The 12,228-nt window shown below is 40.9% G+C and overlaps 1 protein-coding gene, 1 non-coding gene and 1 pseudogene across 4 annotated transcripts in view; 1 reads left to right on the forward strand and 2 right to left on the reverse strand.

Moving 5' to 3' along the window:
• HMGXB3 (HMG-box containing 3) overlaps positions 1-12,228 on the forward strand; it is a 52,390-nt gene that overhangs the window by 17,163 nt on the left and 22,999 nt on the right. For all 3 annotated transcript variants that reach the window (NM_014983.3, NM_001366501.2, XM_047416963.1), the window contains 4 exons: positions 665-796; positions 6,361-6,779; positions 8,805-8,980; positions 9,119-9,216. In NM_014983.3, the coding sequence (NP_055798.3) occupies positions 665-796; positions 6,361-6,779; positions 8,805-8,980; positions 9,119-9,216 (825 nt within the window). The remainder of the gene's footprint in view (positions 1-664; positions 797-6,360; positions 6,780-8,804; positions 8,981-9,118; positions 9,217-12,228) is intronic.
• RPS20P4 (ribosomal protein S20 pseudogene 4) lies at positions 3,630-4,149 on the reverse strand (annotated as a pseudogene).
• On the reverse strand, positions 11,448-11,551 carry LOC124901207 (small nucleolar RNA U13). The gene has a single exon (XR_007059171.1). It is a non-coding gene; the product is annotated as a small nucleolar RNA U13 (small nucleolar RNA).

Here is a 12,228-nt window from a genome sequence, read left to right on the forward strand (position 1 = left end):
ATGATAAGAGCCAGTGGCTATATATATTAATATGCAAATAACTACATTCTGTTGAGTATCAAAGGATAGGGCCTGGCTTATAGTCCTGAACTGCCCTTATTTTTTCAGTGACCATGGATCTATTTTTATTCTGAATCCCAGGTCCTTGGTTGTCTGAAGAATGAAGATGAAGCAAATTCTTTGAAGTATTTAGAGCCAGAGGGTGCAGCTGGATGCATAGAAGGAATGTTGGGCCAAGAATAGAGAAATATGGGTTCTAGGTCTAGCTCTGCCCTTGATTGATGATTTGAGGCAAAGCATTTAAACCTCAGTAGTAATAATACGTACTTAATACGATTGCTGAGAGTATTAAATGAAATATTGGTAAAGTGTTTAGCATTGTGTGGTGCCTAGCTCAATGCATAGCAACTATCACTTTCTTCATTCTTCTGGTACCTAACTGTAATGTTGGGCAATTGTCTTTCCCCATTTGAACTTAGTTTCTCCATTTCTAAAGAGTGAATTTGTTGTATTGTAGGACCTTTCCAACACTGACCTTTTATGATATGATTATGAATTGGTTATCTTTCCACAAGCTTGTGACCTCCTGGTGTTGCTGTGATTATAGTGGTCATCAGTCTGAGAGAGGTTGTTCTATTGATTCTGATGTGCTCTTTATTTACAGACCACTACATATACCCGCCGGGGCCATGGGACATGCACCAGCCCAGGGTGCTCCTTTACATATGTCACCAGGCACAAGCCACCTAAGTGCCCTACCTGTGGTAACTTCCTAGGAGGGAAGTGGATCCCAAAGGTAAGGTCCATTGGCTGTTGCTGCTTTGGAAGCCTCACAGAATAGACTTTCTGTTTGCCATTAGGAACAGGTGATTTTTAAAAAGTTAACATTTGTTTTTACTGTCTGACTATACAAGTAAATCATTTCCATTGTATATAGTTTGTTTAAAAAATACAAAAGAAAAATGGAATAAATTGTTATCCAAACTCATATACCATCCAAAGAAAAGCCATTATTAACATTTTGGTGTACTTCTTTCCAGTCTTTTTTTCTGTGAATAAGTTCTGTATCTGTTTTTTTCTTCTTCTTTCCCTTCTTTTTTTTTTCCAGTAGAGATGGGGTCTTCCTTTGTTGCTCTGGCCTCAAACAGTCTCCTGTCTCGGCCTCCCAAAGTGCTGGGATTACAGCACTGTGAGCACTGTTTTCCCTTTTATTTTTCTTTCTGTTTTTTCGTGGATATCTCCAATACTATAATATTTTGCTTTTTTTAATTTAACATATCATGCCTTTAAATAGTCTTCAAAATAGTACCTGTTTCATAATTTCCATGAACTACTACACCATGTTTATTTACTTGTTTCTGTCATCCCCCCGTCTGTATATAGAGATGTCTGTATCTATATGTCTTTAACATTTTTATTTAACACTCATCATCAGTTAACAATGTTTCTGTTTATGTCACATTGTGAGTTCCTTAATGACCTTGGTATCTCCCACAGCCTTTGCCCATAGAAGACACTCAATAAATAAATGAGCATCACTGCTGTGCCCTTCTGAAGTTCCGTTTAACATGTTGTCACCTGTGTATGCTTGGTGCGAACTAGATAAAACATATATACTTGCCACATTTTTTATATGAAACTATACATTTTAAGGGCTAAAATGGATGGAAGAGGCAGTAAATTCTCACCTAGTTCAGAGAGGAGAGACATTTATAAGGACTGAGACAGACAGGCAAGGTATTATAGAAGAGAGAGAGTTGAAGATTCAACAGAATTTGGGTGGGTAGAAAAGGAAAGAGAGGACATTATTTTAGTGAAAATGGCTTAGGTTAGGTTCGTGATTATCACATGTTTAACTCAGCATGGTCCAAACTTGTATGTGTAGAAAAACCTTGTATAGCAGCATACCTTAAACTTCTCTGGGGCAATTTTCACATCTCTTTGAGAAATACTGGGATGGTGACTTTTGCCCTCTGGATGAGTGTTTTGGCTTCTGGCTAAGTTCAGGGTAGCACTAATTCCAGGAGACAGGATAATTAAGAACACAATTCTGGAGTTAGCTACCTCAGTTCAGACCCCTGCTTCCCAAGGTTTTTAACTATGTAATCTTGGTCAAGACATTCTATATCTGTTCCTGGATTTAAGTTTTGTCTCATCTGTCAATGGAAGTTAGTACCTACTTCATTAGGGATGTTAGCAGGGTCAAATAAGATTATCCATATAGACTAAATGGCAGTTTCTGGTACATATTAAATCCTCAGTGAATGTCCTGCTATCATCATGATAGACATCAATGTAATTATTAGCCCTACTATTGCTCTTCATGTTGTCAGGAAGGGCCTAGTGCTAATGTCTCACAGGGGGTTTTGTCTAAGGCTCTTGTGCCATCTTCTCTGATGTGCCTCTCTGAAGCCATCAGTGTATTCACAATGTATTCCCCAAAAAGGCAGTTCTCTAACTGCAGTGGGGAGATTGAACTGGATAGTAGTCAGAATCTTCCTTGGCCTTTCTTGACCAATGCGAAACAGGTCTCAAATGACCATATTTCCTGTGCTTATACATGAAAGACTGTCAGTGATCACTGTGGGCTTATCCCTCCTTCAGGCTATTTTTACTTTGGCTTTTTCATTTCTTGTATGTGTGGCTTTCTTTTTCATTTCTTGTATGTGTGGTTTTTTTTCCACTTTGAAATAACTTTTTTTTTTGGGACAGAGTCTCTTGCTATGTTGCCTAGGCCCATTTCAAATTCTTGGTCTCAAGTGATCCTCCTGCCTCAGCTTCCTGAGTAGCTGGTACTATAGGCATATGACATCATACCATCATACCTGGCTTTAACTGAAACAGCTTTTTTTTTTTTTTTTGAAGATAGAGTCTTGCTCTATTGTCCAGGCTGGATAGCACGATCTCAGCTCACTGCAACCTCTACCTCCCTGGTTCAAGTGATCCTTATGTCTCAGCCTCCCGAGTAGCTGGGATTACAGGCATGTGCCACCACAGCCAGCTAGGTTTTTTTGTATTTTTAGTAGAAATGGGATTTCACCATGTTGGCCAGGCTGGTGTCGAACTCCTGGCCTCAAGTGATCCACCTGCCTCCCAAAGTGTTGGGATTACATGTGTGAGCCATGGTGCCCAGCCTGAAAAACTTTAGAGCCATGGTTCTCTTACTAAGATCAAGCTCATGGCATGAAAACAATTTTTTTCTTAGCTACCTTCCCCCATCTTGACTTGCTAAGTCAGAATTTACCAATGTGTTCTGCAAGGATTACCATGTCAAGAGTAGATACTGTGATTTCTAAAGCTTATAGAAACAGAATGAGTGTGAGAAGACAGGTAACATTTTACCATCAGTGCACTTAGAATTTTAGAAATAAATTGACTTTGATTATCAGCTACTTCAACTCTTTTGAGTTTCCAGCTAAGGAAAAATAGATTTTGAAAAAGCGACTTACTAAATTCACACAGCCAATTATCCCATTGCCTTTTCCACTAAACCACACTTCTCAGGCATTGCTGTGCTGTTTAGCTGCAGAATGTAAGACAAGCTTGTCCAACCTATGGCCCAGGATGGCTTTGAATGAAGCCCAACACAAATTCATAAACTATCTTAAAACATTGAGATTTTTTGTTTTTTAACAACTGGTAATCAATGTATTAAAATAGTTGACTTAAGCATCTGCAGTGGTGACTTGCACCTCAACTCCTGGCTCAGTACTGATGGAAGTAATTTGCTTAACAATCTCAGAAGGACTGTGCAAGTCAATTAGTTGCTTGTGGATTCTCCTATGGAAACATTCCTATGTCTTAGAACCTTGACCACAAGTTTTTCTTGTAGTGATTCTCAAAGTCTTGGTAGGCATTCGAACTGATCCTTTCACTGAGATTCTTTTCCTTTGCTCCTCTGATCAAGTCAGCACACATCTTCTCCAGGGATTTTATGTTGCAGCTCGTTAGAGTGATTTGAATTCGGTGAATTGCCACCTCCAGCTCCATGGGTGTTTTTCCGGTGTCTTTAAAAGCCTTGGCTGCAGCGGGCTTCCTGACCGACTTGTTCCTTGGCGAGAGAGAACAGCGGTGAGTCAGGAGCAGGAGCGGGCAGGAGCGGGCGGACCGCAGCTCCGCACCACCTATGACTGTGTCTTCCTCAAAGAGCAAAACATTATATTTTTTTGTGTGTGATTATTTTATTTTTATTTTTTTAGGCTCATCAGCTATTGTTAGTGTTAGTGTATTTTATGTGTGACTCAAGACAGTTCTTCCAATGTGGCCCAGGGAAGCCAAAATTGGACACCCCGATCTATTAATAAGATTTCTTGAATTCTGATTTTTGAGGCAGCAAGTATAATTTGTCTCTAAAAGCTCCAAGTGTGTTTGTGCCAGCCAGGAAATGACTCACCTTTTGTTGTATTGTTCTAGAGTTCATACTGGCTAAAATTAGCCCAAGAAATATGTGGCATAGTTCCCAATGAGTTGGATAAAACAAAAGATAGTATATAAGGCTGTTTAGCTCAAGGCTTCATTCTTAAGGCTCTCTGATGGCAGCAGTTGAGGTCTCTCTGAGCCTGCAGCCTCAGAGAATTTTGAAAGTAACATCTAAAATGAGTAGGCTGAGTTAATGAAATGTGAGATCACCAGGTAGAGTTGTTTTGCTCAGATTGCTTAAATTACCCAATCTTTCTGTGGTGATTTTTGTCTAAAATAGCCTACTTAGTAGGCAGTGTTTGCTCAAAAATCTTATCTCAAAAAATGAGTTTAGTCTCCTGTTTTTCTGCTAAATTTTCCCTCTCCTGCAGTAAATAAGCTCTGTGCACTTGACTTGGAATTTTTCTCCATGTTAACTCACTCTTAGGGGCTATTATGTGTTAGAATCTGAGAATGCTTTACCAAAGAGCTCTTAAGAGGTCACCTGTTACTGGCTCTTTTTTTTTTTTTTTTTTTCCAGACAGGGACAGGGTCTCGCTCTGTCACCCAGGCATGAATACAGCTCATGCAGCCTCAGCCTCCTGGGGTCAAGTGATCCTGCCACCTCAGCCTCTCGAGTAGCTGGGAACACAGGCACACAGGCTGCATACCACCATGCCTGGCTAATTTTTTTTTTTTTTTTTTTTTTTGTAGAGATGTGGTCTTGCCATGTTTCCCAAACTGGTCTTGAACTCCTGGGCTTAGGTGAGCCTCTTGCCTCAGTTTCCCAAAGACTTAGGATCACGGGCATGAGCCATGACGCCTGGCTGTTACCAGTTCTGAACTAGAAGTGCAGTATGCAGATGGCTTTGGAAATGTTGAGGGGTTTTTGGGTAGTAAGCGACTGGGAGATAAATCATTGAAATTTAGTGACATTGGCACAGACACTAAACTTTCTGTAATGTGCAGGGAGGTCCTACACACTATAGAATTAGGTCACCCAAAATGCTGTCTGGCTCCTGTTGACAAATACTGAGAGCCCAACCCTTTGCTATTTCATAAGGGGAAATGAGGATTCAATTGAAGCTTGCCTTATACCACATAACTAATTAGGAGTGGAGCTAAGCTTGATAGAACCCAGCCTTTATGTTTCCTAGTTTACAGTGCCCTTTATGATATACATGGTGGGTAGAAAACCTTTCTGAAGACAACCACTATTTAAAAACATTTTTAAAAGCGTATGTGTGTATATATAATACTATTATTTCCACTGCAGTGCTAATTGGATAAAAGCTAAGACACCAAGGACTTTTTAAAGCCAGGTCTAGCTGAAATAGCAGCTGCCATTTTTAGTGAGTTTGAATATTTGTAGCACATAATAATGCATGAGTTAATTTGATCCAGTGCAAAGTATGTGACATATGTGCAAGTCATTCTTAAGACTCTCCTTAAAGAATCTGGGACAAAAAACAGAATTTTTCCCAAAGGAGATGGGAAAATTTGAATCTGTCCACATGAGGTTGCGGCCACATTGGGATTAACTGAATCTCATAAAAGGACCACCAAGGTGAACAACTTAGGGCTTTTAGGCCCTGTATGGCAGTATGTCACCCTCTTTCTAGACACACAGAAGTAGCCTTTGAATAATGTAAAACTAAATGTAAACCTAAAAAATGCCAACATTTGGTTGATGAAACCTGGAGAAGCTTTTCAATAAGAATTCATTAGAAGATGAACAGTTTTATTCAAACGAAGGCATTTAATGCTATAGTGAAAGGAACCTGTAGCCAGAAAACTTAGATTCAGGCTAGTTTTACACTTGAGATCTTAAGTTAACTTCTTCCTTTCATGGACCTTAGTTTCCTTATTTATTGCCCATATGTTATTAAAAATGAGAGAATGTTTGTGAATGTCATCAACTGTAAAATCCCTTATGTATACAAGGTATTCTTATTTTTCTAGGAAAAGCCAGCCAAAGTAAAAGTGGAATTGGCTTCTGGCGTCTCTTCCAAAGGCTCTGTGGTGAAAAGAAATCAGCAACCTGTCACCACTGAGCAAAATTCCTCTAAGGAAAATGCCTCCAAACTGACTCTGGAGAATTCGGAAGCTGTAAGCCAGCTCCTGAACGTAGCTCCTCCCAGAGAAGTAGGTGAGGAGAGTGAGTGGGAGGAAGTGATCATCTCCGATGCCCATGTTTTGGTTAAGGAAGCTCCCGGGAATTGTGGTACAGCAGTCACTAAGACGCCAGTCGTCAAAAGTGGTGTGCAGCCTGAGGTCACTCTGGGGACAACTGACAATGACAGTCCTGGAGCAGACGTACCAACACCATCCGAGGGGACAAGTACCTCCAGTCCACTCCCTGCTCCTAAAAAACCTACAGGGTAAGTCAGTGTGTTTGTATAATATAGGGCTTTGGAAATGCCCCATGTTTCTTTTATCTCATGTCTGTACAGCATGCCTGAGAGAGGCAGCAGAGACCAGGCAATGGTTCCTGTTTTAGAGATACAGAAACCAAGGCCTAGAGATATATAAAGATTGTCCCTTCCCCCGGACTCTGCTATTCATGTACTGCTGTCAGATTACTTACACATCTCTTCTTGTCAGTCTCCCTAAAGCATTAATTAGAGTCTTGCTGGTATAGGCTCTGGGCAGTATTAAAACTATGAGTTACCAGTCCTGGATACTGGATTTGGAAAGAGAATCTTTATTAAAGCATCCTGTAGAAAGAGTTCTGGCCTTATAGTCAGAGAACTCAGTACTGGTTCTGACTGTTTCTGGCTTCTGTTTGACTTTGGGCATTGTCACTTCATGTCTCTTCACCTCAGTTCTCTCCTCTGAAGAATCTTGAGTTGGATATTAGAAAATCTTATCCTCACAGGCTGACTGTACAAACTGAAGATTGTATATAAAACATGCAACCAAGTACCTTGCAAGTCGGAGGAAGTCACTATCTTTTTCTCCCCTTTTCCTCCTTAAATGCTTAATTGGATTCTGTGTATATCCCTTCCCTGAGGAAGTTGTGTTCTTGTAACTGAAGACCCTTATTTGTATCAATGGTTCTCAACTGGTAACAATTGTGCCCGCAATGAACACCAGAAGCCAATTCCACTTTTAACTTTGGCTGGCTTTTCCTGGAAAAATAAGAATACCTTGTATACCTTGTATGCAAATATGTATGTGTGTGTGTGTATATATATTTTTCCCATTTTTTTTTTAACACAAATCATAGCACAACATACATACTTCTACATCTTGTTTTTTATTTTTATGTTTATTTTTATTGTTTGAGACAGGATCTCTCTTTGTCATTCAGTCTGGAGTGCAGTGGTGCGAACACAGCTCCCTGAAGCCTCATCCTCCCAGGCTCAATCGATCTTCCCACCTCAGCCTCTGGAGTAGCTGGGACTACAGGCACGCACTACCACACCTGGCTAATTTTTGTATTTTTTTTTTTGTAGAGATGGGGTTTTGCCATGTTGCCCAGACTGGTCTTGAACTCCTGGGCTCAGGTGATCCGCCCGCCTTGGCCTCCCAAATACATCTTGCTTTTTTTTGGGATGGAATCTCGCTCTGTCGCCCAGGCTGGAGTGGCGCCATCTCGTCTCACTGCAAGCTCCGCCTCCCGGGTCCATGCCATTCTCCTGCCTCAGCCTCCCGAGTAGCTGGGACTGCAGGCACCTGCCACCACGCCTGGCTAATTTTTTGTATTTTTAGTAGAGACGGAGTTTCACCGTGTTAGCCAGGATGGTCTTGATCTCCTGACCTTGTGATCCACCCGCCTTGGCCTCCCAAAGTGCTGGGATTACAGGCGTGAGCTACCGCGCCCGGCCCCATCTTGCTTTTTTTAAAAAAAATCATGTAGCAATATACTTTGGCGATGGTTTTGTATATTTAAAGGATGAAGCTGTGCACTTTAGACCTTTTGTTTGAGACACGTAAATCACTCTAGCAAATGTTTATTGAGGCCTCCTCTGTGGTATAGGCCATGTGCTCAACATTGGTGCTGCAAAGATGAAGCAAACATGGACTCTGTTCTCTAGGGTCTCTAAGCTGCTGTCATAAGTATATGCTCTAACTAGAGGTAGATTAGATGTTACAGCTATAATAGCGATTGGCATTACACGCTGTAGACATCGTTTTACACTTCTGTGTCTTCGCAATGACCCCATACTGTATAGGTAATTACTGTTCCATTTTACATATTAGAAACTTGAAGTTAACAGAAGAATGAAATTACTTGTCCAGGGCCACACAGCTATTTAGTGGTTGAATTTGAACTCAATCTGTCTAAAGCTTGACAGTTTAACCCCAATACTATCCTCTAAGAAAGCACTATGTAGAGATTGCGCTTTGGTTTTCTTCCCTTTGTTCCAGAATTTCCAGATTTCTCTTCTTATTCTTTTCAGAGCTGACCTGCTTACCCCTGGGTCCAGAGCTCCAGAGCTTAAAGGCAGAGCACGGGGCAAGCCCTCATTACTGGCTGCAGCAAGACCCATGAGAGCAATTTTGCCAGCCCCAGTTAACGTGGGGCGAGGCAGCAGCATGGGACTGCCCAGGGCCAGGCAGGCCTTTTCCCTGAGTGGTAAGGGCTGGGACATACCTGGGATGGAGGGGCTGTCTGACAGGAAAGGGACAGGAGTGGGGGGTTGAGAACGGACATAGAGACTTGGGGAGACTCTGAATGCACTTAAGTCACCAGTTTGGCTCCTGGTTCTCTCAGATAAGACTCCCTCTGTGAGGACTTGTGGTCTGAAGCCAAGCACACTGAAGCAGCTGGGCCAGCCCATTCAACAGCCATCTGGCCCTGGTGAGGTGAAGGTAAGGCCCATTTTCCAGAGTGGGAGCTGTTTGAGGGTCTGGCTGCTTCCATGTAATGTATCAAAGCTATAGGTAAAGGCACATCCCATTTCTTACACGTTGGCAGACCTCTGGGTGGAGGTTAACATGAATGATTTATCTGTTTTTTAAGTAATTTCTTAAAACTTAAGTGAATACATGTTTTTAAACCTTTTACTTAGAAATAATTTATAACTTAGAAAAAAGTCACAAAAATAAAAATAGTACAGAGAACACCCATATACTCTTTACCCATAGTGACCTATTGTTAATGTATTAGCCCATTTTGCTTTATCTTTTATGTTCATGTGTGTCCCCCCACCATATGTGGGTGTGTACACATTGCATGTGTGTAAAATACACATTATAGGGTAAGTTATGCCTTTATGCTTGTTTGTGTATTTCATAAGAATAGGGATTTTTTTTTTTTTTGGTGGCAGTGTCTCACTCTGTCACCCAGGCTGGAGTGCAGTGGCACAATCTTGGCTCACTGCAACCTCCACCTCCTGGGTTCAAGTGGTTCTCCTGCCTCAGCCTTTCCTGAGTAGCTGGGATTACAGGAGCACACCACCACGCCCGGCTAACTTTTGTATTGTTGGTAGATATGGGGTTTCACCATGTTGGCCAGGCTGGCCTTGAACTCCTGACCTCAAGTGATCCACCCACCTCGGCCTCCCAAAGTGCTGGGATTACAGGGGTGAGCCACCACGCCTGGCCTAGAATAGGAATATTCTTTTACTGAAACATTGATGTATACCTTTACTCTCCCATTCATATTCCAAATTGTGTCAATTCGACCTGTGAACCCTGAAAATCTGAGACAGGTCTCAGTTAATTTAGAAAGCTTATTTTGCCAAAATTGAGGACATGCACCTGGGACACAGCCTCAGGAGGTCCTGATGACATGTGCCCAAGGTGGTCAGAGCACAGTTTGGTTTTATACATTCTAGGGGGACATCAGTCAACATACACAAGATGAACATTGGTTCAGTCTGGAAAGGCAGGACAACTGGAAGCAAAGGCAGGAAGACTCAAAGCAGGGAGGGGACTTATAGGTTATAGGTAGATAAGAGACAAGTGGTTGCATCCTTCTGAGTTTCTGATTAGCATTTCCAAAGGAGGCAGTCAGATATGCATTTATCTCAGTGAGCAGAGGGTGACTTTGAATAGAATGGGAGGCAGGTTGGCCCTAAGCAGTTCCCAGCTTGACTTTTCCATTTAGCATAGAGATTTGGGGGCCCCAAGATTTATTTTCTTTTCACAGACCCGATTTTATATATATATATATGTATATATATATATGTATGTGTGTGTATATATATATGTATATATATGTGTGTTTGATATATATATGTATATATATGTATGTATGTGTGTGTGTGTGTGTGTGTGTGTGTGTGTGTGTGTATATATATATATATATATTTTTTTTTTTTTTTTTTTCCTCCAGAAACAAGGTCTTGCTTTGTTGCCCAGGCCGGAGTGCAGTGGTGCAATCATAGCTCACTGCAGCCTCGAACTCCTGGGCTCAAGGAATCCTCCCAACTCAGCCTCCTGAGTAGCTGGGTACACAGGCAGGCACCACCATACCAAGCTAATTTTTAAATTTTTTTTGTAGAAACGGGGTCTCTTGCTATGTTGCCCAGGCTGATCTCAAACTCCTGGCCTTAAGCGATCCTCTTCCCTCCTCGGCCTCCCAAAGTACTGGGATTACAGGCATTAGCCACCTCCCCAGTGTCTTCTTTATTTTATTGTATATTTTTAAAGCCCCTCCTATTCTAGCACAGTTCCTTTATATAGCATATTTTTCTCCAGTCTGTGATCCAGTCTAGGATCAGATATTAACGTTTAGTTGTCATGTCTCTTTAGCTTCCTTTTAAAAATGAATGCATGGTTGTAGAAAATATAGAAAATTCAGGTAAAGGAGAAAGAAAAGTCCCTCATGATCCTGCCACCCAGAATGACCATCCGATGTGCTTTCAGGTCTTTTCCTGAATTTGTGTGTGTTTATTTTTTAATACAGTTTTTTAAAAATCAGAAACTTGGCTCTTACTCCATATACTAGTTTGTGGCTTATATTTTTCACTTCATTTAGTGATACAGATATTAAAAATTTTCTGTGTGTCCAAATTCCATGGATTAGTGGGGTTGGTTGGTTGGTTTTTTGGCTATATGTAGCTAGAATAGTTATCAAGTTTTTTTTTTTTTTTTCATGTCAAATGGGTAATGTGCTGACGTTATAATGAGGTTTGAGGGAGGCACATCTCACCCATGTGCATGAATACCAGATTGTCATACTTGTGAGCTATAAAAGGATCTCTCAAAATTTCCTAAGTTAGCATTTTTCAAGCTTTTGATCATGACCTTCAGTAACAGGCATATTTTTTATTACTGCCCAGTAAACATATATACTAAAGGTTTAATGAAGCTGTGCCCTTACTATATGCAGTCACTTTTTTTTTCTCATTCCTATTTGCAAAATCCTGGTTTCAACCCATTAAATTAATGTTATGACCCCTCATTGGATTGTGACCTGTAGTTTGAAAACTGTGTCATGGACCAGGTTGGAATAGGAAAACGGGTCTGCCATCTCCCCTGTCATGTGTTCTTTGTCAGTTAACTTCCTTTCTTTAACAGTTTTACATTTGCCCTGACAGGAATATCAACTGGCTTTTACTTTGAGAACTGTTTTGTTTTCCACACAGATGTGGCAGCTCTGGGTGTATGTGTGATCTTGCGGTGTAGAAGGAAGGTATCTGGTTAGCGTCGGTAGTTTTGTATATTTCCAGCCCCTAGATTCCCTTCATGTACACTCTGTTACTTGGGTAAACCCCAGTCTTCTCTGTAAATAGTTTCCTTTTGATTGGTGACATTGGGTATTTGTTAAAAGCCACAAGCTCTTTTACTAGTCTTAAACCAGTAAAGAGGTACATGAGATATTCAGAAAATCAACTTAAATTCATTATTATAGAATAATTTTAATTTTGTATGCTT

The sequence above is a fragment of the Homo sapiens genome, chromosome 5 (genome assembly GCF_000001405.40).
Source record: "Homo sapiens chromosome 5, GRCh38.p14 Primary Assembly".
Classification (NCBI taxonomy): domain Eukaryota; kingdom Metazoa; phylum Chordata; class Mammalia; order Primates; family Hominidae; genus Homo; species Homo sapiens.